The sequence below is a fragment of the Homo sapiens genome, chromosome 9, assembly GCF_000001405.40.
Source record: "Homo sapiens chromosome 9, GRCh38.p14 Primary Assembly".
NCBI lineage: Eukaryota > Metazoa > Chordata > Mammalia > Primates > Hominidae > Homo > Homo sapiens.
Genome location: NC_000009.12, coordinates 110,140,367 through 110,165,303, shown reverse-complemented (window position 1 = coordinate 110,165,303; position 24,937 = coordinate 110,140,367). Strand labels below are relative to the sequence as shown.

The following is a 24,937-nucleotide window of genomic DNA, read 5'->3' as shown; positions in this document are numbered from 1 at the left end:
GTGTGTGTGTGTGTGTGTGAATCTCTAGCAAATTTAGAGCTTTTATTACTTGTTTATTACTGCATATTAACTTCACTTTCTAAAGTTCATTCCTTTATTTTCTGGGCAAAAAGGCATATGTCTCTGGGGCTCTAATAATGTCATACTCATGTCCTAAGTACGATGTTACTGTTTGAATCCTCACTACTAGTCTATGACATTTATGCTGTTATTACTCCCATTTTTTATATGAAGAACCTGAAGCACAGGGAGGTTAAGTAACTTGCCCAGAATTACCCAGTTAGCAGAAGGCAAAACCAAGATTTGAACTCTGCACTCTGGGTGCAGAGTTGATGCTTGAGGCCACCAGACTATCTGGCTGCCCAATGGCTGTAAGGAGTCCAGAAGGAGACACACCAGAGAAGAGCAATCAACACTCCCCATGGAAATGGAAAAGGGAAAACAAAAAACGATCTGATTTAAAGTTTTATTGTGGCTGGGTGCAGTGGCTCAAGCCTGTAATCCCAGCAGTTTGGGAGGCCAAGGCAGGCAGATTGCTTGAGACTAGGTGTTCGAGACCAGCCTGGCCAACATAGTGAAAACCTGTCTCTACTAAAAATACAAAAATTAGCTGGGCATGGTGGCTGCCACCTGTAGTCCCAGCTACTTAGGAGGTTGAGGCATGAGACTCGCCTGAGCATGGGAGGCAGAGGCTGCAGTGAGCTGAGATCGCACCACTGTACTTCAGCCTGGGTGACAGAGTGAGACGGTGTCTCAAAAAAAAAAAAAAAAAAAAGTAAACTAAATAAATAAACAAAGTTTTATTGTTTTCACAAATTCACATTCAGGTCTGGTAGGGAATAAAAAACAATTATCTCTCAACAACCCTTTAATATTAATTTTTCTCTCTAATGCTTAGGGAATTCAAGTGAATTGCTTAACTTTGAAAGCAATCAATATAGAAAATTTTAATTTGGACATATGAAACAAAAGACAGATATGTTAAATAATATCACCCTATTCATATTAATATTTATATTTCATCTTCCAACCTGCTTTTAAATTGAAGACAGAGTGGGCCCAACTCTATCTTCCTTGGATATATTTGACCAGATTTTCATTGTTTTAAATGGACTCAAAGGGGAGACGGGCTTAGTCCTAATTCTCAAACTGCCATCCTCCAGATGAGAACCACAATTAGACGTTAAAGAAGGTACAGAATGATATTCTCAGTATTCATTTGATATCTTATGAAAGAAAATTACTGATAATCAGCAGGTCAGCTCTATATTTAAATATAATTCTTTGGCTAAATAGAGAGACCAAAAAACTTATTATGCTACAGGTTAATGCAACCAACTTGAAAAATAATTTACAATATCTAGTAAATGTTAGGATGTATCAGGCTACTAGCCAGTGCTTCTACTCCTAAATATAGAGACAGGTTCTTCCATAGGTACATAAAGAGACATGTATAATAACATTCATAAAAGCATTATTTCTAACGGTAAGAAAAACTGGAAATAGTCTACATTTCCATAACAGAAGATTGAATAAATAGTGATATATTCATTCAATGGAATACCATACAGCAGTTATAAAGAATGAACCAGAGCCACAGTGATCAACAAGGACACATCTCAAAACAATGCAGACAGAACAAAGTCAGGAGCAGAAGATACTGCAACATGATTTACCGCTTATAGAATGTCTTCAAACATGCAAAAATAAGGTGTTGTTTATGTATATACACATTTGTAGTATAAGTATAAAACCATGCATGGAAATGATGAACAACAAGCTCAAAAATAGTTACCTCTGCGAGATTGTAAGGGAGGAGGGAACTGGGAGAAGTACGAGAGGGCTTAAATTGTATTTGCAATACTAATTTCTTTTAAAAATATTAAATATCATGAAATGATAAGAATGGACAAAGCTGGGTAGGTGGGTTTTATTATTTTATTATCTTATATTATTCTGAATGCCAGTTCCATGATATCAGGAACTTGTTTTGTTGACTGCTGTATTCTTGGAACCTAGAACAATGCCTGACACATAGTAGAGCCTTGAAAATTGTTAAATGAATGAACGAATGATTCTCTCTAGAATTCTGTATATTTGAAATAATTCTTTTAAAATCAAAATAAAATACAGAAATAAAAATATGAAAAATATTGTGCTTTCTCAGCAAAAAGAAAAAATGGACAAAATAGAAAAAAATTAAAAGAGAAAAATATTATGCCTTCTCATAGCACACATATTTATAGCACATATATTTGTGAAATCTGTGTAAAAGGAAAGAAGACTTTTGGGGACCGAGAACAGTGGCTCACACCTGTAACCTCAATGCTTTGGGAGGCTGAGGCAGGAGGATCACTTGAGGCCAGGAGTTTGAGACCAGCCTGGGCAACATAGCGAGACCCCCGTCCCTACAAAAAAAATATAAAAAAATAAATTAGCTGGGCATAGTGGCACACACCAGTAGTTCCAGCTCTTTGGGAGGCTGAGATAGGAGGATCGCTTGAGCCCAGGAGGTTAAGGCTACAGTGAGCTATGATTGCACCACTGTACTCCACCCTGGGCAACAGAGTAAGACCTTGTCTCTTAAACAAGGAGGCTTTTGGAGAAATCAAGGCTTAGAGTTTCTAAAATAAAAATACACGTTTAAAGATTGGAGGGAGGGAGGTCTAGGATGGTTTACATTTGATAAATCTGTAGATTAGGATGGTTCATCTTAAATCTATAGAATGGAGCTTTCTAGCTTTATGTTAAGGTAAACAAAGAATGGGTGAAAATCCATAGCTCAATCTGCATGAGCTGCACTGTTTTCCAACCAGGCCAAGTATACTTGCTATTAATGCCTAAAGAAACTTTAAAAACCAAAATAGCCCATCACTTGTGTCCTCTGGTCCAAACGTCTTCAAGATTCGTGAGCAGGCAAGGTCTTCCCCAGTACCCTCCCACTCGCCCCCACAGCACAGCACAGCAAACCACACCATTGTATATCACTGTTGCATGGACTCCAACATTTCGAGGCAGTCCCATATTTCAGAACAGGCACAAAAAAATACATATGGAGACAAGTCATTTTTCTTGCCATTTTCGTTTAACTCATCAGGAAATGGCAAACCACAACAGCATGCACCTGGATCATGCATTCAGTAAGACCAAGACAAACAAATTGAAAAGTACCTCGGAAGTCACCTTGCAAGACAGTAACTTAGAAGTGTACTGGCAGAGAGGGAAAAGACCAGGGTTAGTACATGGCAGTGACACACTTACAGAACACCCCCTAGCCGGGAACAGGCACCACACCAGAAGAGGATGGGAGGGGAAGTAATACCAGGAGGCCATTCTACACCCATGCCAAAACTTTCTCCATCTGATATTAGTTTATTTATAAGTCTATTCTTTGCAGCAACTAGATACCCTATTGTTCACTAATAAAAATATCAGATAAGCCGTACTTTGTTAATTCAAAACGTTGCTTTCAGTTTCTGTACTTTGAATTAACAAGATTCCTTCCCCTCTGTACACAATCAGCTGCCCACCAGCAAGGTCGTTGGGGGCCATTTTGGATTTGCTAGAGTCTGTAGCCAAATAGCCTTTTCTCTTCCCGTAGGCTTCTCTGAACCCCAAAGCCGTCTTGTAACCTGTTGTTCCATTAAAAGAAGATCCTAATCACAGCAGTTGGTTTGTGGAGGCAGATTCTCTGAAACCGGCCTAAGGGTAGTCTTGCCTAGGGAGACCACACAGCCTCCCTCGTCAGAACCCTGGGGGCCTGGGTAAGTTCCTGAGAGTGGGATCATCCTTTGATAGCAATTTCTGGTGATTATATAGGATTATTAGTATGAGCACTTAGGAACTGAAATGATCCTTTAGTTCCTATAGGGGACTAAAAGTCTTACTCAAAGTACAGAAAAAAATGGCCTGACTATGGAAAATGAGATGGCAGGACCAATTTGGGACATCCCTCTCCAGAATTATGGTAATGAGCGTACATTTACACTGCTTGGGGCATTTAAAGCATTTATTGGTTTGGGGCATTGATAGCCATAGACTAGTTAGGTGGGATCACACATCTGTGATTGCTGACTGCTTCTTATATGTAGCACTTAGGAATTATAGTTCTGTCATGATTGGGCTAATGGCTGGGAGCTGACAAGTCAGGAGCTCTTCTCTCTCCTTTGCATCTTCACTAGGGTACGAGTGAGAACGTAAGAGAGAGTTAGGGAAGCACAAGGCATCACTGAGCTTCCTGTAGCGTCTGGGGAAACAGGAGGCAGATAGGCTTCCTTCACACACTGAGCGAGAGTATGGCCACAACTCTCAATGCATGTCCTGGTCTGGAAGGGTAATGTGTGCCAGGAACTCTCAGCTTTGACGTAGCCCAGGAAAACCGACGAGGTCTTCTCTTGTTCTAAGATGAGACAGAGTGGTTGGATGACCTCTCAGTAATGAAGTCATGGGATGAGAAAGAGAGAGAGAGCACACTGGAAAACCCCACTGAGGGCAGATCCTGCGCTAAAAGTAAAGATGGGGCTGAACATCCAGGAGGCTGTGATTTGGACTCTGGTCAGCATCCCTTCAACTGAGAAAGGCAAAGCAAACCCTCGAGATGTTCATGAGCATCATTGACTCAATGACCCATCATCTTCACTTTCTGAGGCTCAGGTCAGGTTAGGGAAACAATTGGCTGGAAAAATACTGTTTGCCTAAATACAGTCATGTCACTCAGGATGGACTAATGAATCAGAGTTTCCTAGAGGGGTTCTTCATGCCTGAAGGAAAAACATCCAAATAGCCCATCATTTGTGCCCACTGATCCAAATGTCTTCCAGGTCCATGAGTGGGCAACCCCACCTTGGAGGCAGTCGCTTTGCAAGGCATCAAGAAGCCCTTTAGGAAACTAGGATTCACTAGTCCATTATGAATTGCATGACTGAGCAGAAATGGTATGAGACCCAGATAAGTGGACATTTCCACATAAGAGAACATTTCCAGATAAGAGAAACCCACAATATGAATAGGATTGCTGCATCTGGGTGTGTGTTGTGTGCACTGCACAAAAGCATCAGACTAAAGGGATGAATGGTACTAAAGCCCAGTCCCCTACTCTACCCCCCAAATGTGTGGCTGGTGCAGGGCTGCATCTTCATATCTTCATAGAGGAACAAGGGTGGTTTTTTTTCCTAATTCACACAAAGGCCTTGCATAGGTTGGTAAACAGCCTTGGGTAAGTGGGTAGGGGTGGGGATGGTAATCCTCCTGCCCTCAGAATTAGCCAAGAGGTCCATTAATAAGTGAGGCTGGAGATACTCATTGGTGACTCCAATATACAGGACAAAGAAATCAGCCCAGGTGGGTGAAGACTGTGGCAACTAAAGGGAGTACTTTGCTCAAGTTCTGAGCTAGTAACAAATATGGCTGGTTGGGGACAACCTTTGGATAACACCACTCCCTGACTCCCATAAGCCAGGGGCCTCTCTGCATATGACTTTTTATAAAGTGGAAAACTGGAGAGAGCAGGGCCCTGAGCTGAGTCCCTGTGGACAGGACCCCAGAGGCCACCACACCCCTGATGGGGGCTCGGGGGACACTGAACTTGTTTTGATGGCAAAGATCAGTTTTTCTCACTCAGCAAAACTTCAGCCGTAGCTACATTCTATCTTTCTCCTTCTGTCTTTCACTCTCCTCGATACCATTGTGTCTAACATATCACACTTTATACACATTCCAATGATCAGCGCCTGTCTTGTTTTTAACTCTGCCTTCTCCTTAAAAAGAATAAAAAATAAGAATTATTTTTGCTCAATTCACAAATAACTGTTACTTTCGATGGGCAAACACATGGTTGTGTTCTAATCACGCGACAGGCATTGATTCTCAGGTGTGGTTTATCATCTCCAAAACGGCATGCCAAAATGCTGCCAAGTGGCTTACTGGAAAAAATATTGGCAAATGGAGGTGCCAGGGGTGATGCTGCATAACATGGGGAGATGCTGGGTGTGTAGGTGTGAGCCACTGAGGTGCTTAGAGGGTGGAGAGTCTAAGAAGCCATGTTTCTCTGTGAGAATAGTGTATGTAAATGGAGGCTAGAGACCAGAATTACTTTACCTTTAAGAGAATTAACTTTATGCTTCTACGGATAGGTAAGCCAGTTACACAACTCATCCCCCCAGCAATCCATCTGCTCTCTATTACTATCCTTCTGGTATTAAAGAAAAAGAAAAAATGGAAAAGGGGCCACAGATTGGTTAGGAAAAAAATGAATGTTTGTTCATCCCTACAGGTAAACTTCAACACATTCACCAGTGATTGACACAGATACAGGAGAAAAGGTCCCCTAAATTGGAAGGGCTAGGAGAAGGCTCTCATTTGAAGCCTGACTGATGATCATATCTTTGCTTTAGAAGCAATCTGAATTTGTTGTTTTAGATTTGGGTCTCTTAAATGAGCATATAGTGGATTGGTAGATTTTGTCCTGATCCTAAGAATTTTCAACAACAGCAAACTTGGTTCTGTTGTAATAGCAATAACAGTGCAAAACATTTGGCTTTGAATCCAAGATCCAGGGATATTAACAGCTTAATTAGTTAGGTCTCTTTCTTTTTCAAAATGTTTATTTACTGGAAAATATAGAGACAGGAGGCTGCCTCTTTGATTTGTAAGTGAAGGGCAATCAGCATATTAAAACGCTGATTCCAAGCAGCTTCATTCATGCAGAGGAAAAACTCAACCTGGTTGGCATTTGTTAGGTGGCTGCCAGAGTGTCAGCGTGTGCACAAAAGAGCTTCCAGCCCTCTGCCTTTACGAAATGAGTGAGAACTGCCTCTACCCTTCTGTATGGAGTATTTTTCCCTATCATCTGCACTCCAACACAAAAGACATACACAAGTGACAAGTAGAGTGTGTTCAGCAAACACTCGCGTGGGTCACATGCTAAGTGGTTCTACTTGTTCTTCCCCATCCACATCAGAGTGTGGGGCACCCACTTGGCTAAATTCTACCAAAACTGCTGATGTATAGAGCAGAGTCACTGGGAGAAAAGAAACCAGACACCTAGAGCACCAAGTTTCAAAATGATTTAACTTTCAGAAAATTCTTAAGGCAAACTTTATCCTTTGAAGTGGGGCTTCAAAGAAGGGCTGGTGAAAGTGACTGAGTAGCCAGGGAAAAATCCTGCAGGCTCACGAAAGGAGCTGCTGGCTCCCCTACAGTGAGGTTCAGCAGTGGAAATGTCTGCAGCAGCTACCCAGGGCCGGGCATCATCCCACTGTCTAATACAGTGAAGAGCCCAGTAGAATAGCTGCAGCCTAATACAGCAGCTGAGCCAGTGCTCCACGCAGTTCAGGTGTAAACAAAAGGGAAAGCCTGGGAGATGCCAAGTGAGAAGCCAGGCTGCCAGATATCCATTTGCTTTCTTCCTTTCTTTACCGCCATATATTTTGAAAGCAACTTTCAGCATCTGGGCTTCAACTCCAGAAATCCTTTAACTTAGCCAGCTAGGATATAAAAGGCAATAAAACAGCAGGGAATTCTTACTGTGAACTTCATAGCATTCAAGTTTAAGGTGACCAGATGGTTTATCACCCAAACTGGGACACTTTCAAGAGTGAAAGGCAGGCTGGGTGCAGTGGCTCATGTCTGTAATCCCAGCACTTTAGGAGGCTGGGGTGGGAGTATCCCTTGAGCTCAGGAGTTGAAGAACAGTCTGAGCAACATAATGAGACCTCCTTTCTACAAAAAAGTTAAAAAATAAGCCAGGTATGGTGGCATACGCGTGTGGTCCCAGCTATTCAGGAGGCTGAGGCGGGAGGATTGCCTGAACCCAGGAGGTCGAGGCTGCAATGAGCCATGATTACATCAATGCATTCCAGCCTGGGTGACAGAGACAGACCCTGTCTCAACAACAACAACAACAACAACAACAAAAGAGTTGAAGGGGATATTAATAACCACAACACCACAACAGGCATAAGCCAGGACTGTCTCAGGTAAACTCAGTAGGATCCTCAACCAACCCAAGCTATCTGTGACTTAAGTGCAGTCAGGGGAGGAGGTGATGACTTCAATATGTGCTAAGAGACTGGTGCCAGAAGACCCACAGGAGGTTGGCATGAACCCTGAGGCTGATCTCCAGGCTCCTGGGACTGTGTAGAGCAACAGTTCCTATGTCTCTAACCGGAGAAAGAAACCACAGAGCATGTGACTTCCTTCACAGTTAATTTGAACGTTATGTGCAAAGTTCCGAGGGCTTGGGTGTAGCAGAGTAGCCATGTGGTTTTCAACTGTCATTTTCACTGGCTCTTTGCTTTCAAGCTATGCACATGGGCTTGTTAACAGCCCCAAACACACTCAGTCTTTTAAGCACTGTAACATTGTTAGGGATTGCCTAGAGTGTCGGCTTTGAAGGAACAGCATCTTCATCCTTTTCTAGAGAAATAAAATCTCTACTGGGCAATGGTAGAAATCAGCTCCCAGGTGCATAGGGATGATTTCAGGGCACTTGCAACCTTCTCCCTGCGTGGCCCTTGCATGCTGTCTTTCTATGCACCAAACATCTTACACACTAGCCTTGCTGGTCGACTCCAGCTATACTTGGCAGCAAAGGACCAGCTCCCTGCAAGATCAACAATTTTTTTTTGAAACAGGCAAAAACCCAAACCCAGTTCCAGGCATGTGAAACCACATATATGAAAACTGATACTGGAACCCTAATGCTGACCAGACAACGACATACACATTTGTGCCTGAACTGGAATGCCACACGCCACACCGATGGCCGCGCTCAGAGAAGTGAAAGAGGAAAGGAGGAAAAACTTACACTACTATCATCCATTCTCTCGCGCCTTTTAGATTTGTGTGTCTCATAGTCTTCCATGAGGGTCTGCATCAGATTCTTGGGCCGCTGGGTTCCGGCAGCCTCTTCAGGGGCTAAGTCAGGCTGCAAGCTGGGGCCTTCAGTGGTGGGGGATGGAGGAGGTTTGACTTTCTCTATTTTCCCTGAAACAACACGAAGAAAATACCCTTTCTAAGCTTGTCTGCTCATGACTGCTTTTAGAAAGAAAACTGGCAAATAAAAGAGCAACAACCTCTGACACAGAGAGTGGTACCAGAATGATGGTTAAGTGTAGGCCATTTTATTATATTACAGGGATCAAAGCACTTAAGGTTAATGCACAAACCCATCCAAAGATCTCAAGGACACCAAGTTCCAAAAAGTCAGTTAGATCAAACAGGCACAGCACGCATTTTGCAAATATATGTTGGACAGACCGACAGTGGCTCCAGTTGTTTTGAGATATGTATTCTATCACAGATCACAGAATTAGACTGTCAGAGGTGGTGGCACCTTGGAGACTCACAGACCCACTTCTTAACAGATGAAAGCGCTTGAGGCTCTGCCAAGGGAAGGCTGTACTCAAGTCATAGGGAGCCAGTGATGGTACCCAGGCCTCCTGCTTTCCTCACCAGGGTCTATCCTCTATAGCAGAGGAAGTCAATTGTCTGCTGACCTGCCCAGGCTTTTTGTGCAGACAGCCCAGTGTTATAAAACCTTTGAATAAGGATGAAGTTTGTTCTTCTCAGTTTGCCCCGGTCTTACACTGGCCAGCTTTATTCATTTACCTCACCTGCTGGGGTCCTGAAACATTGGGGTTTGAGGCCTCCCAGACCTTAAGAAGTGTACACCAACAAAGGCAATGGAAAAGGTGCACACCAGCCTTGGGAATGAGGAGATTTTAGCTCTCGCAATGTCCTCCAAGAATCCTCAGGATGGAGAGATGAGGTCAGTGATTAATTCAACAGTGGTGTGGTGACTCTACGCACCCTCACCAAGACCATTTCCATCCCTCCCTCCCAAGAAATGCCTGGCCCTGGCTTCTGGCCCTTCATGGGGTGGGTTTATTGACACAGAGCCCCAAATGCACTTCTGAGAAGTATCTTCAAGTATAACAATTATGATTTTTCCAATTATGCCCTTTGTGGTTGATGCGGCTAAAACCTGTGAACAAGGAATGTGGATAAAACACACAAGATAAATGGGGCTTGCATGGCTCCGTTTGGGAGGGGAAAGGGCCATTTGACCTCTTCCAGTTCCAAGCCGAAGGGGACTCACCTTTCTTCATCTTACATCCCAGGCTTCTAACTTGGCAACTGCCTGATGTAGCAGGAATCACAAGTGAAGCCTGGTGTCCACATTTCCATATGGGCTGCTTAGCCCTTTACTGGCACAACCTCCTTCTGATGAGAGATACAAAGGCCTGGAGTCCAGGAAACCCAGGTTTTTAACTCCTGCTCTTCCAGTACTTGGCTACGTGACTGACTATAGATCATCGTTTCATATTCCCATTTCAATCGTGGGCTGATCACTTAAATTCTCCTAGCTTTAACTGCCATAGCGGTTAAATGGGAATTTTGGAAGAAGTTATCTTTGTGGTCTCTTCTAACTCAAACGTTTTGCTATTCTATCAAATATGTTTGGCAGGATACACCCTTCTTGATTTTTTTTAAGGTATTTAGCTGTTACACTTGGGGATTAGGTGGAAAATAGGTTTTAATATACAGAAAAGGGCACTGCATTTCATGGCCACATTACATTAATAACAGTGAAATTTGTTGCTTTGATCTAAATTACCCAGATAACTGAAAAGTCTTTTGATATTAACAGTACAATAATAAGTATTTCAAAATCTCCAAGTTCACTAGAAACAGTTCCTATTTTTTATTACGGAAATTAGGGAATGCTATAATGACCCCTATAAACATTATAAACATCACCCAGAGTAAACATTTATCAAGATTTTAGCATAATTGGCTCTTCCTTCCTTCCTTAGACTTGCTGAATTATTTTAAACCAATCCCAGACCTCAGGTCACCTCACTCCTGCACACTTAGTATGTATCTCTGAAAATTCCGATTGACTTTTTAATTGAAGGCTTAAGAAACAATATAGCACAGTGGTGAGCGTGTAAGCTCTGGAGCCAGCCGGTTTGGGCTTGAATCCATGACTTGGCAGCCAAATCACTTTGGGCAAGTTACTTACTCTTTTGATATCTTAGTTTCCTCATCAGTAAAATGGGTATGATGATAAGGGTACCTACCCTCAGATAGTTATTATGAGGACAAAGTTAATATTTATAAGGTTAATATTCAGAACAGAAAGCATCTAATGATTCTAGCTACCACTTAATTGGAATCTCAAAGAATAATGTGACTATAGGGTGAGATGAACAATTTCATGCATATTCTGCATAAAATTTTTGCATCTCTTCTGGGACCAGAAATAGACACCAATTACCAGGTTAATTTTCATCATTTTCCAGTTGACCTCTCAAGTGTCCAGATCACTTCCCACCAGCCACTCTTCCAGAGTTAAACACCTAGAAAGCACAGCCTATATTCATTGCTTCTAGCTTCTCCCTTTCACACACAGCACAGTGGAACTCCTGTTTATATTTCTGTGAAGGCCATTTTCACATACTGACTTAAATCTTATCTGGCTATTGAAGCTTTTGTCTTCTCAATTAAGCTATAATGTCATCCTGAGGACAGGGGGGTATGTTTCACCTGTCTATGAATCCCCTTAATTCATTTGAATGCAAACTCCATTAGGGTAGAGCCTTGCCTGTCTGATCATTGCCAGATCCCAGCAGTAGCTGTGGTACATGGCACGAGGTAGGCAATTCATGTTTGTTGAGTAATCAGTAAGTCCATTATGAAATATATATAACAACCACAAGTAAATGCTTATGGATTGGGACAGAATCTCCCATAGAGAATCAGAGGAAAGGGCTTAAATGCCTTCACCAAAATATATGAATTAAAACATTTTAGGCTTACAGAATCACAGACTCAATGGCTTTGGAGTAACAAGCGGATTTATATACCACTTCTTTTGTAGGCTTCATGTCATTTGAGCCTTGCAACAACCCTGGAATGTAGTTAGGGTGGATGTCGTGACACCTGGATGTCATGACCACAGAGGCTCAGATGCCAACTCCAGCCCAAGTTACATAAGACAGTGACAGTCACAGTCTGGAGCCCAAACCCAGTGTTGATGATGGCTGAATTAAATGATGGGATGTATGCAGAAAGAATGTTGTAAAGAGGGTGAAGGATTACTATAGAGAAGTGGACAGCCATTTAACATCAAAGACATTTCCTGCTTATTGATGATTTCATCCCTTGAGCAAGTTTTTCCAGTTCTAGCCACTAGAGGTCAGAGAAGTAGCAGGAAAGAAAGGCTGGCTTAGCAGTTCTGGAGCAGGGGCTTCCAGGAACAAGGGGGCTGAGAATGGTCGCTTTGGATAACTGAGCCCATGTTCTGGTTCTATCTACCCCCTTAGGAGAGGCTATCACAGGTCCCCAGAGAGAGAAGACACTATGCCTCATCCCCAGACTTCCGGCCATCATTCTGGTCAGTATCAAGGGAAGCTAGCTCAGCCAGGCTCCTCTGCTGGGCCCTGTGATCTCTGATGATCCTCCCCAAGTATGGTTCAAACCAGGCACCAGAATTCTGGGTGCCATCTTAGGAATCACACAGGCTGCCAAAAGGCTGGAGAGAAACCTGTTCCACACCTGACAACTTCCTCAGAGGTCCAGAGTTTGCAGCCAGAGGTCCTCTCCATTAGGACGGTGACAGCACTCCGGATGCTCTTCCCCCAATAGTGGACACTGCAGACAGCACCACTGTTTGGGTCTTGAAGATCATTAAATGAATGTGATGCAAATAGTCTGTGCCACAGGCCTGGGAGCTCAATCACATTCTTTTTCATGACCCCATAAGGCCCCTTGAAGTCCCTTGGCCAAGAGGACATGCCCCATTAGACTCCCCAAACCATGATGGTTATCTTTGGTGCTTCTTTTTCACTGATCCAGTGTGCATCTCACCCAGAACTTCCCCAGTAACCCCAGGTCCAGCTTTGCTTACTCCCTCAAACTTTGCTCTGCTATTGGTTTATTCACCTGTAATGATTCAATAGCTTGTGATGCCTGAAATCTGCCCCATTTTCAATGAGAACATCCTGCCATCCAGTTCCTCACCTGCACTGAACACTCTATAGAACACTTTTTTTTCTTTCATTTTTTTGAAATGGAGTCTTGCTCTGTTGCCCAGGCTGGAGTGCAGTGATCTGGGTTCATTGCAACCTCTGCCTCCCAGGTTCAAGCGATTCTCCTGCCTCAGCCTCCTGAGTAGCTGGGATTACAGGCACCCACCACTATGCCTGGCTAATTTTTGTATTTTTACTAGAGACAGGGTTTTACCATGTTGGCCAGGCTGGTCTCGAACTCCTGACCTCAAGTGATCAGTCTGTCTCAGCCACCCAAAGTGCTGGGATTACAGGCATGAGCCACTGTGCCCGGCCAGAACGGCTCTCTTGAAGGACATCGGTCACTATCCTTAAACAACAACATGAACACACAGTGCCATGTAGACCTCAGGGCAGGTCCGTATTGGTCTTGGCTGATGGCCAGCCCTGACATTTACAGAGCAGGGAACAGGTATAATGTGACCTCTATAAGGAACGTAAGGAACCACTACAACAATGTTAGACTGAAATTCCGAGTGGAGGATAGGAAACGTTTAAGTTTATTTCATAAACGTGATCATATTCAAACTATTCCATCTGGAGTAATTTTAGACTTAAGCCTTTGAAGGAGTTTGAGGGTAAGTGGCTTCACTTGGTTGACTCCAAAGATGTGTTTCTAACATTGTGTCCTGTGACCTTAGCTTTGTAGGATAGTTACTTGATGCCTCAAAGAAAAAAATCTTTGGTCAAATTAAGCTTGGGAAACTCTGGGTTAAAGAAAACAAGGAGGGAGAGAGGGATTTGTTTACCAGAGGACTTCTGGTTTTAGTGCTAATATGATTGTGAAGCTCTAATTCAGGAATGGGAGTGCAGCATTTCTTAAGTTTAGTTAACCAGAAAACCTCACTTCATAGAATCTATTAAGTGCCTCAAGAAAAAAAGCCAGGTGCAGAGGCTCATGCCTGTAATCCCAGCACTTCAGGAGGCTGAGGTCAGAGGATCACTTGAGCTCAGGAGTTTGAGACCAGCCTGGTTAACATAGTGAGACCTCATTTTAAAAGTAAGTAAATGAATACAGAAGGGGAAAAAAATTTTAAAGTAAGTAAATGAATACAGAAGGGGAAAAAAGAAGAAAAACAGTTTAGGAAATACTGTTGTCTAATGTACAGTAGTTAACCAGCTTCCAGGGAACTTTTCTGGCCCAAGTTCATTTAATAAGTAAGTATGGGCACACAGCTCATGTACAAGAACGTTCAGCACTGTGTTTTTTTTAACTACACCAAGATATCTTCCTATTGAAGAATGGTTAAGTTAGCTATGGCTCATTTAGGCAATGAAGTATTAGTTAGCCATTATAAATGATGTTTTAGACTCTCAAACTTAGAGGAATGGTTAAGGTCATGAGAAAATATTCAAACTATATTAAGAGAAAAAGCAGACTGCAGAAGTAGATATATTGCAGGAGTTCAAGAGTGCAGGCGGGAGAGCCAGACTGCCTGGGTTCAAATCCTAGTTCACCACTTCTTAACTGTGTGAAAGAAAGCAAAAGTGCATAGCACATGGCAGACACTCAATCAGCATAAGATGAACACTATATGTTGCCTCCTGTGGTGGGCAGAACAATGGCCTCACCAACAATGTCCAAGTCCTAATCCCCAAAACCTGTAATACGTTGCTTTAGAGGTAAAAAGAACTTTGCAGTTGTGATTAAGTTTAGGTACTTGAGATGGGAAAGCTATCCTGAAATATCCAGTTGGGTCTGATGTAATTGTAGGAGGGAACTAGGAGGGTCAGCGAGAGAGAGAGAGAGATCTGAAGATGCTGCACTGCTGGCCTTGAAGATGGAGGAAGGGGCCATGAGCCAAGGAATGTAGGCAGCATACAGAACGAAAGAGGGAAGAAAGTGAACTCTTCCCCAGAGCCACTAGAAGGAACACTACCCACTGACACCTTGATTTTAGCCCAGTCTTAGGTTTGTTTGAGCTGCCATAAAATACCATAGACTGGATGGTTTGAACAACACGCACTTATTTTCTCACAACTTTAGAGTCTGGAAGTCCAAGATCGAGGTGCCAGAATGGTCGGTTTCTGCTGAAGGCTCTCTCCCTGGATTGCAGACAGCTGCCCTCTTGCTGTGTCCACACATGGTGGGGAGAGAAGCTGTCTGATATCTCTTCTTACAAGGGCATTGATCCTGTCATGAGGGCTCCACTCTGTGACTTCATGTAAACCTAATTATATCCCAAAGGGCCCACCTCCAAACACCACCACACTGAGGGTTAAGACTTCAGTATACGAATTTGCGGGACAGGGGTCTCAATTGAGACCAGGCTGGTCTCAATCCTCCTTTTGGATTTCAGGTCTAACTTTTAAAAAGCCAAGAATGGGGATTCCAAAAGTTCTGAAAATTATTTTGGTCAGATAGTCATCCATAGCAGATGAATTTCAGACTTCTGCCTTCTAAAGCTGTAAGATAATGCATGTGTATTTTTAAAAATTATTATTATTAGAGACAAGGTCTCACTATGTTGCCCAGGGCTTGAACTCCTGGGCTCAAGAGATTCTCTAGCCTCAGCTTCCCAAAGTGCTGGCATTACAGGCATGAGCCACTGTGCCTGGCTAAATGCATATTTTTTAAGCTACTATATTTGTGGTAATTTGTCATAGCAGCAATAGAAACGAATGCAAGTATCAACCCAATATTGGCTTCCATGAACCTATGGGCATGGAGAAAATCTAGAAAGGTGGTTATTCCTGGGGGAGTAGGATTATGAATCACTTTTGATTCTTTTTACATTTTTTTCTACAATCAGCACAAATTAATTTTAAAATATAAAACAAACCAGAAAAGTTTTCTTGTAAATATTATTAGCCCACGCTGAGAAAAGCAGGTAAACCTGCTTGCTTTAACTTTTATGGACTAGGCAGATCCACAAGCCCTTCCATCATCCCAGGCGGTGCATACCCAGAGGAGCTCAGAAGGAAAAAAACTGTTCATCTCTGCAATGGTGGTGCTCACAAGACTGTAGCATTGCAAGGTAGACTAAGCAGCAAGGAAGCCCAAAGAGTTTCACTCCAAACTAGCTAGTTTAGTCCCATCATGAGTGGGAAAGCATAAATTGGTGTTTCCTGTTTATTTATCATAAATAGTTATACCACTCTGTGGTCCAGAGAAAGCAAGCCATGCCTTGGCTGTGCTTCTGGATTTTCCAGGCCGGATGGATTTCCCTTGGGCATCTGTGGCGAGCCGTGCTGACAGGAGGCAGAGAAAAGAATCTGCAATTCCTCCCACCCAAAGAACCCGAGAAAAGGCTGCATGCACTCAGAATACAGCTATTGTCATCCCTGACTGTCCAAATCTTCCTTCTGGATTTCAGGTCTAACTTTTAAAAAGCCAGGAATGGGGATTCCAAAAGTCCTGAAAATTTTGGTCAGATATTATGATTTGGGTGATTATTACTCTCTCTATGCATGAAGTCTGAGGTCTTAAATCAAAGAGCCTTTGTTTCCACATTTCTCAAAATAAAAGAAAAAGCCTTCACCCACTCGTATTTAAAAACCAAACTGAACCGAACAAAATCACTCACCAGAGGACATGCCTAAGCCAGGGCCTCCTTCAATGACCTCCTTTCTTCACACAGCATTGGGATAAGGTTGCAAACATCTGAAGCGACCCACAAGTCACCAGAAAGAAATGAGCTCAGACTTGCATTTTCAATTTCGTTTCCTCTCAGTACAAGGGAACATCCTGCTTGTCAGCCCCAGAGTGCACGGACTTGTGCGGTTCCAGCTGTGACCCGCACACCAAGAGCTGGTCCCTTCTTCTTTCATCTCCTCCTTTGAAGGCCCCAGGGGTGGGAGAATGTGATGATATGAATCTTCAGATTATAAACTTAGCTCAGAAATGAGAAATACCACTGCTTGGCAAACAAGTCTGAGAAACTGTCAAATATTATTGCTTAAAGGTAAGTCAAGTTGTTGGATGAGTTGCTGATATTGGGTTTATACCTATGAACACAACTGGAAGATGATGAAAACTCTAGAAGGAAAGAAAGAACTCTGCTCTTACAGGGCAAGCAGAGTTTAAGGCCAAAAAGGAAAAAAGTTAATTAAAACAGTAAGAATGAAAATTATGGTGAATAGTAATTCTCCACCAAGATCCTCTCTTCAAATACATTTCTACTAGCATGGTGGGCTTGGCTGTGTGAAGATTACCTCCCCCCAGAAGGAAAACATTTTTATGGTAATACATGTAATTTTATTCACTCAGTACATTTAATGATGGACTTTTTACTCTTTAGTTTTTCGAATCATAGTGGACTACTGAAAACTCATTATTCCTGACCTCAAGTTTCTAAGAGAAATGTTAATTCTAAGGAAGTAACTGAAAAAAATCCCAGCTAGGAATAGAAAGCAATTTTATCATGTGTGTTCGGTTATTTATTTCAGGCTCACAACTGCTGCAAAAGAGCAACTCACAAATAATTCTACTAAGGCTTTCTGGCCTTTTCTTTCTTTTTAGAGACAGGGTCTTGCTTTGTCACTCAGACTGGAGTTCAGCGGCATGACCATAGCTCACAGCAGCGTTGAACTCAAGCTCAAGCAATCCTCCCACCTCGCCTCCTGAGTAGCTAGGACTAAAGGTACACACCACTAAATTCAGCTATTTTTTCCCCCCGTAGAAACAGGGTCTCACTATATTGCCCAGGTTGGTCTTGAACTTCTGGTCTCAAGCGATCAGCCTCTAAGCTTTTTCTTAAAACAAAAGAGCAACTGTAATGTTGTAATGTTGTAATGACAACAACAATAATAACTCTTACTGGGAGCTTTTTATGTACCAGGCCCTGTCTCAACATTTTTATGAGGTTGGTATAACTTTATTCCTATTTTACTGAGGTTTACAGAGGTGAAGTAAGTTGGTCACAAAGCTAGCAAGTGGTAGTCAGGAATGAAGCTTGAGATATGAATCCAGAGAAGTGACTGTCATATTTTAGCATATATTCTCCCTGACCATCACACATAATTTTTTTTTTTTTTTTTTTGAGACAGAGTCTTGCTTTGTTGCCCAGGTTGGAGTGCAGTAGGGATTGTAGCTCACTACAACCTCCGCCTCCCAGGTTCAGGCGATTCTCCTGCCTCAGCCTCCCGAGTAGCTGGGATTACAGGCATGTGACACCACGCCTGGCTCATTTTTATATTTTTGGTAGACATGGGGTTTCACTGTGTTGACCAGGCTGGTCTCGAACTCCTGACCTCAAGTGATCTGCTGACCTCAGCCTCCCAAAGTGCTGGGATTACAGGCATGAGCCACCTCGCACATAGATTTATACTTGAGTAATGGGAAATAAAAGAGAGACTGGTAATACTTGTGAGTTAGATACACACACATTTTGGGAACCCTTTTAAGTTTACCTTCAAGGCCATGAGAAAGAAAATCTCGTTACAAGAACTACACATATATTCTTTGGTGCTCTAATTGTCTGCCCCATACACTCTCTCCCTGCCCCACCTCACCTCCTAGCCTTCCACCCCATAAGTATGTAGCACACAAAGATCAAATAGATCTGAAATGCCAGTCTCCTTAGGGAAGTACACAGCAAGTAACTATGGCTGGTAAAAGACACAGTCATATTCTGCCCTGAACCCCAGCAGTCACAGAGGACATCCTGCTCCCAAGCCTGGTTTTGATTAGTTCCTATTTCTTACCAAGGAACTTGCAAGAATTAGGTTCTTTGATTCACCTCCTCTCTGTCACCTGAAAACTATGCATCTGTTTTTGTGCATGGCTGAGTCTGATTCCTCATAAGATGCTCCCCTAACTAACTTGCAGCATGGAGAGGCCATGCAGAAGTAGGCAATGAGGACATCACATGGTGGCCCAGCACCAGCAGGAGCCAACCCAGACACACGGATCTATCTGAAGACCCAGCACAATCAGCAGGAACAGCAGAACCTGCTTGTACCAGGGAATTCAGCTGGTGGGGAACGTTCTGCTTTTTCCAAAGTTCTGCTGCCCAGAAGCTGTAACTGCAGGCTTGTCACAGAATAAAGACTTCTGGGCCCATAGGATCTCAAGAGTGAGGCTGGGCTGCACGCGGTGGCTCACGCCTGTAATCCCAAATCCCAGCACTTTGGGAGGCCGAGGCAGGTGGATAACAAGGTCAGGAGATTGAGACCATCCTGGCTAACACGGTGAAACCCCATCTCTACTAAAAATACAAAAAATTAGCTGGACGCGGTGGTGGGCACCTGTAGTCCCAGCTACTCGGGAGGCTGAGGCAGGAGAATGGCGTGAACCTGGGAGGCAGAGCTTGCAGTGAGCCGAGATAGCGCCACTGCACTCCAGACTGGGCGACAGAACGAGACTCCATCTCAAAAAAAAAAAAAAAAAAAAAAAAAGAAGAGTGAGGCTGACAGGCAGGTTTAACCATGGCAGTTGTCTTTTCCAAGCCTTTAAGGGTAATATCTAAAGAGAATGTGGAATTCTATACTTTGAAAAGTCCTGATTTCATTGCACACCTTCACCCCTTGCCAAACATAGCTTCAACATAGTCTTTTCTTACCAATTCCTTTCCAAATGGCATGCATTTTTCAAGAAAACATACTTGCTGGATTTAGATAAAGAGAACACAGGGAAGTCTGGGCCAAGGCAGAAAGATCAATTTTTAAAAGGCAAGGAGAACAGTACGTAGTCATGGTGCTCAATGATCACCAGTCAACTAACTTAGTTGACTTTGACCCTAGTACACCAAAAATGTTCATGTTTAGTTAACAGAATAATGAACACTTATCCCTGCTCATCCTCAAATTTAAAAATTTCTTCCTTGCTTGAGTACCCAGTTCTTTCGAAGTTTTCAAGGAATGAACCTGTTTCTGGAGTAAATGGCAGAGCTTCTTCCTGGGAAATAACTTTCAAAAAGAACTCACAAGAGCAGCTAGGCTAGATGGCTGATGTGGACTAAGTTAGTCCCTTGGCTATCCGCTCAGATCTTTGGACAGCCCGAGTGCTTTTGCCTACTGTAATTTGGGGCATTGGAATTGAGTTCTGAAAGCAGAAAGGAATCATCCTGGGTCACTAGGGAAGCACTGTTTCATGGCCCCTGAGAGTCAAATTTATACACCCAGGCCACCGCAAAAGAAGGATTGCAGAGCCACAGTGGCTCCTAAAAGGAGGATCAAGAAGGACCCAGGAAAATGCAGGGGTTGGGCATAAGATTGGGAAAGGGTAGAGGGAACCTGAGCTACAGGTTGGAGAGAGAAGCTATTACTGTATACCTCATAGAGCAGGCTCAACAAATGGGAAGGAGAAGGTAGGGGAAAGAAGATGGATTTTGGAGACAAATGAGAGCCTGAGTTTGAAACCAGGCTCTCCCATTTTCAAGCTGAGTGACCTTGGGCAACTTAATCTCTCTGGGCTCTAGTAGTAATTCTTTGAAAAAGAATATTATTACAGGTCCACAACTCTTCATATATAATTCCCAAATCCAAAAAACTCTGAAAAGAAAGATTTTTCATAACTTATTTGGCAGCAAAACCTGACATGAGCTGACATGAAGGTCTCCTAGTCTTTACCCACTTAATGTAACTAATTCTTCTTCTCAAGTTTTAGAGTAGAAATTTAATTTGATCACAGGGTGTTGACCCAGAACCTGCCAGTTGTGTTAAATAATAGTATGTTCATTGTATTACTTTTCTAAATAATAGTATATACTTTATAAATTCTCTAAAATCAGAAAAAGTCTGAATCTAGAAATATATCCGGCCTCAAGAGTTGAGGTAATTTGTATCTTAGAGGGCTGTTGGGAGGATTCAGTGAGAAAATAAGAAATGACAAGTGTGAAATAACTAGTATTATATGCAGCTTTAAGGCCTTGATAAATTGTAACTACCATGATTAGACTTTTGTAACCAGAGAATGTTCTAGAAATATGGTGGTGGACAATAACCATCTGTGGACACTCCACAATAAGCTTTAGCTAGCTTCACACAGCCAGAAGGGCTCCTACAAGCTGCACAGTTGGTGCCTGCCTTGCAGGAAAGAGAGGCACTGTGTACTACTGATGGAGAGCTCTCTCATCATCAATCCTTCTGTCAGATGCTGACACAGGGACTTCCCCCATGGAGCAATGAGGGCACCTCAAATGAAACTGTGCCTCATGTGGCTCTAATTTAGCATGGCACACTCCACCAAGCTCTGCTTCATGAAGAATGTGTGGACAGTCGCAAACATATTTTTCCTAAGACTTTCCTTTGTGATATTTGCAGATAATGAAGGGGAAAGAACAGAGACCCAGTTAAGAATCTTTATAATAATGTAATGATCACCTCATGTCTAATCTTATCTAAACAGACAGCAGCAGAAGTCAACACTTCCTGTACAGCTTACAAAAGTAACATTTATAACTATCACATCTTTCCACAAATTAGAAGACATGAACAGATACCCCAAGTTATGGAACTTAATAGCAAACTACACCTTCTCTTTTGCCACTCTCCATAATGTAGGTCTCACGGGGTGAATGATCTGACTTGGTAAATAAATTCAACATCTGGCATGAAAACAGAAACTCTCAAAAAACCAAACAAATCATCACCTAACTGGGTTTCTCTGGCATACTTAGAACTTGGAAGTGAAACCAGGATATCTAATAATAGACACAGATACTAAAGTGAGAACTGTTGGCAACCCCAATATGAAAAGACATTTGAAAAGGTCTTGAACTGCAACTTCAATACAATGTTTGGATATCCCACCCCCTAATTCTTTCCTCAAGGGTGTTTTACAGCACTGTGTGAGTTACCCCTTCAAATCAGGCTCATGTACCTGCAAAGGTGCTTCCTTTATTCTCTCTCTCTCCTTTTTTTTTTTTTTTTTTTTTGGCACTTTGCTGCCCAGCCTGGAGTACAATGGTTCGATCACAGCTCACTGCAGCCTTGAACACCTGGGCTCAAGCAAACTTCTTGCCTCAGCTTCCCAAGTAGCTGGGACAACAGGCATGTGTCACCACACTCAGGTAATTTTTCTTTTTTTTTTTTTTTTTAAGAGATGGGGACTTGCTATGTTGCCCAGGCTTGTCTCAAACTTAAGCAATCCTCTTGCCTCCACCTCCAAAAGTGCTGGGATTACAGGCATGCACCACCACCCCTGGCCTTCTTCCTTTTAGTCTCTAATTCTAAGTGCCATCAGCAGAGGGCACACATGCACACACTATTGGGAGCATGGCCCCTCACATAACATACAGGGTGTTCACCAAGATGGCGCCTGCCTTCGGAAGTGCTCATAAGCAGGAAGAGCTCAATCCAAGCCTATGAAATGGATGCATTACAATAGGAAGACATTTAGTCCATCAACTCACAGTGAAGGCAGGACAGCTTGGGGTTGTGTTCAGATAATTACTCCTTTAAAAACTCTCACTGGCTTCTCACTGACCATAGGGTAAACTCTAAAGTCTACAACCCTTAACATGATTGATAGAGCTCTTGGTTGTCTGGCTCCAAATCTATTTCTGTTTTGTTTTAAATCTCTTCCATTAACTTACTCTTAAATATCTCAAATGTGCCAAGTTCTCTATTCCTTTTGAGCCTCTCTTAGGTGCCCTTCCTTCTCCCCTACACCCTGAGCCCAACTTTACCCCTTCAGTTCTCAGCTTAGACAGTAATTTCCTAAGGAAGGAAGACTTTCTTTATCCTCCAAATGATATGGTCTTCCTTGTTTGTGCTCCTACAGGTCTCTGTGCTTCTCTGTCATAAAATTGCCTCATTTGTTTAATGTTGTTTCTCTTACTGAACCATTAAGTTCCCTGAGAGCAGGGACTATACATTTTTATTCACCTCTGTATAAACAAATGTCACTCAAATTCTATTTAAGTGGAGCTTCTTCCTTTAAAAGTCAAATAAGGGCCAGGTGCAGTGGCTCATGCCTGTAATCCTAGCACTTTGGGAGGCCAAGGCGGGCGGATCACCTGAGGCGGATCAGGAGTTGGAGACCAGCCTGGCCAACATGATGAAACTCTGTCTCTACTAAAAATACAAAAAACAAACAAACAAAAAATTTAGCTGGGCATGGTGATGGACACCTGTAATCCCAGCTATTCAGGAGGCTGAGGCAGGAGAATCACTTGAACCTGGGAGGTGGAGGTTGCAGTGAGCCGAGTTTGCCCCATTGCACTCCAGCCTGGGAGACAGAGCAAGACTCTGCCTCAAAAAAAAAAAAAAAAAAAAAGTAAAATAAGAACCAACAAGATAATTTCTAGATACCCGGTCATTAACAATGACTATATCCTTTTCAAAACAGAACTTCTATCATTCATTGTCCATCTTTTAAAAGCAAAAGCACTAAAAGCAAAAACAAATAGCATTTCCACACCAGGGGGATGGGGTTTCTGTCTAGATAACTTTTGTATGGAAAGAATTAGAAGATTTCTCCTTCCTTACCACATCTTGGCTCTCAGTGGATTTTATTTGCTTTAAGGTTTTAGGATTCCAGCATGCCACCAGCATGATTTCTACCAGAGAAGTTAAAAATTATATTTTTCATCACCTAGTATCCAATCATCAATCTGAGTCACACAACAAACTAGTGGAGTCACTTCTTCTGGCATGAAATATGAAATGTGCCGCAGGAACTTGGTAACACCTCCATTCACAAAACCACTGAAGCCAGGAGTTCTGACCCTAGCCATGAATTGTCTAGTTTGGCTGCTCAGAGTCACGTGTCAGCCTTCTCCCCGATCATGAACTTGGAGGTTGGCCAGCCAAGCAATACTCCAAAGATTTCCAGGCATGAACAGGAAGAAAATTGTATTTTACATTCCGTTTCTTTCAACTCATGTTGTAATTCTGGGAAGCCCGGGTGCCTGCTTTAAATGTTCTAGAGATAAACATGAAGGAATGACATGTATGCATATCATTATCATGATTGTACTCAATACGACATCAAGATTGGAACAGACTTGCACGGATGAATTACCATCCCCTTGTAGGGACCAGAAATCAATCCTATGGGGGTGGGATATGGGAGAAGAGATCAGCATTAGCATAGAGGGAAGTACTGGGGAGATTGATACTGGGTTGCTGGGATGCCAGTGGCAAGCCTTAGGATGCTGACTTGTTTAAGGCAACCTCGGTCCTGGTGGGGAAGCCTGATGGACAACAGCCGGTGGGGGAATCAGGAGAAAGCATTGAAATGTCTTTATATTAGACAGTTGTTTATGTGCTAGAAATAAAGTTGGAGGTAATATGGTGAGGGGTTCGATTAAGAGATAGAGACAGAGAAGCCTGAAAATACTCATGCTACGGTCTGAATGTTTGTGCCCGCCCCCCCATTATTCATTTGTTGAAACTTTATCACCAATTTGATGGCATATATTAAGAAAGTCACTGCACTCTTCCTCTTCTTCCTCCCTTTCCTTTCCTTCCCAAACAACTCAGTCCAAAAGTCACTAGGCCAGGCTGAATAAGATGGTACCTGCTGTAGTGTTGGAGCCCAGGGAGGGTAAGGAGGGTGTTGGTGAAGGGTCGTGGCAGTGGCCACCTGGAAAATGATGTCGGAGCCCAAGTTTGGTGAGGAAAACAGGAGACTGGTTATACTGGAGTGTGGGGGAAGGAGGGCTAGTTAAATAATAAACATATTACAGATAATAAAAACTAAGTATCTTTTGTCAAGAAGGTGGTCACAAATATGGAAAGGGAGAAAGTATGAATGAACTTTTTATTAAATAAGAATTAAAAAGCATCAGGGCAAACTCATGGTTTTCAAGAGAGATGTGTGTAATTTCTAATTCTGTCCACTGAGAGTGCCTGGGGCTAGTGACAATGCAATAACAATGAGCACAGCTAGCACTCAGATCTTTGTTTCTAAATACCATTCTCCATCATCAGAAACTAGTGCTCTTCAGAGAGACGACCGATTTCAGGGTTGGGAA

The 24,937-nt window shown here is 42.7% G+C and overlaps 1 protein-coding gene and 1 long non-coding RNA gene across 18 annotated transcripts in view, besides 3 other annotated features; both read right to left on the bottom strand.

Annotated features, from left to right (window-relative positions):
• PALM2AKAP2 (PALM2 and AKAP2 fusion) overlaps positions 1 to 24,937 on the bottom strand; it is a 531,726-nt gene that overhangs the window by 7,209 nt on the left and 499,580 nt on the right. For 6 of the 17 annotated variants that reach the window (XM_047423410.1, NM_007203.5, XM_047423412.1 and 3 more), the window contains 2 exons: positions 8,807 to 8,985; positions 3,172 to 3,210 (listed from right to left, as the gene is read on the bottom strand). The exons of 5 other annotated variants lie outside the window; for them this stretch is intronic. In XM_047423410.1, coding sequence (XP_047279366.1) covers positions 3,172 to 3,210; positions 8,807 to 8,985 — 218 coding nt within the window. The remainder of the gene's footprint in view (positions 1 to 3,171; positions 3,211 to 8,806; positions 8,986 to 24,937) is intronic. 6 more of the 17 variants (XM_047423411.1, NM_147150.3, XM_047423413.1 and 3 more) reach the window with 1 other exon arrangement.
• Positions 3,063 to 3,202: an enhancer, noted in NCBI's record as "active region_28783". NCBI's record gives its function as "activates an Ori minimal core promoter by ATAC-STARR-seq in GM12878 lymphoblastoid cells {active_cell/tissue: GM12878}" and the evidence as "EXISTENCE:reporter gene assay evidence [ECO:0000049][PMID:35858748]".
• Positions 8,262 to 8,311: a silencer, noted in NCBI's record as "silent region_20172". NCBI's record gives its function as "represses an Ori minimal core promoter by ATAC-STARR-seq in GM12878 lymphoblastoid cells {active_cell/tissue: GM12878}" and the evidence as "EXISTENCE:reporter gene assay evidence [ECO:0000049][PMID:35858748]".
• LOC124902244 (uncharacterized) lies at positions 9,101 to 15,571 on the bottom strand. The gene is made up of 2 exons (XR_007061727.1): positions 11,551 to 15,571; positions 9,101 to 10,224 (listed from the first exon to the last, which is right to left on the bottom strand). It is a non-coding gene; the product is annotated as an uncharacterized LOC124902244 (long non-coding RNA).
• Positions 16,623 to 16,872: an enhancer, noted in NCBI's record as "active region_28782". NCBI's record gives its function as "activates an Ori minimal core promoter by ATAC-STARR-seq in GM12878 lymphoblastoid cells {active_cell/tissue: GM12878}" and the evidence as "EXISTENCE:reporter gene assay evidence [ECO:0000049][PMID:35858748]".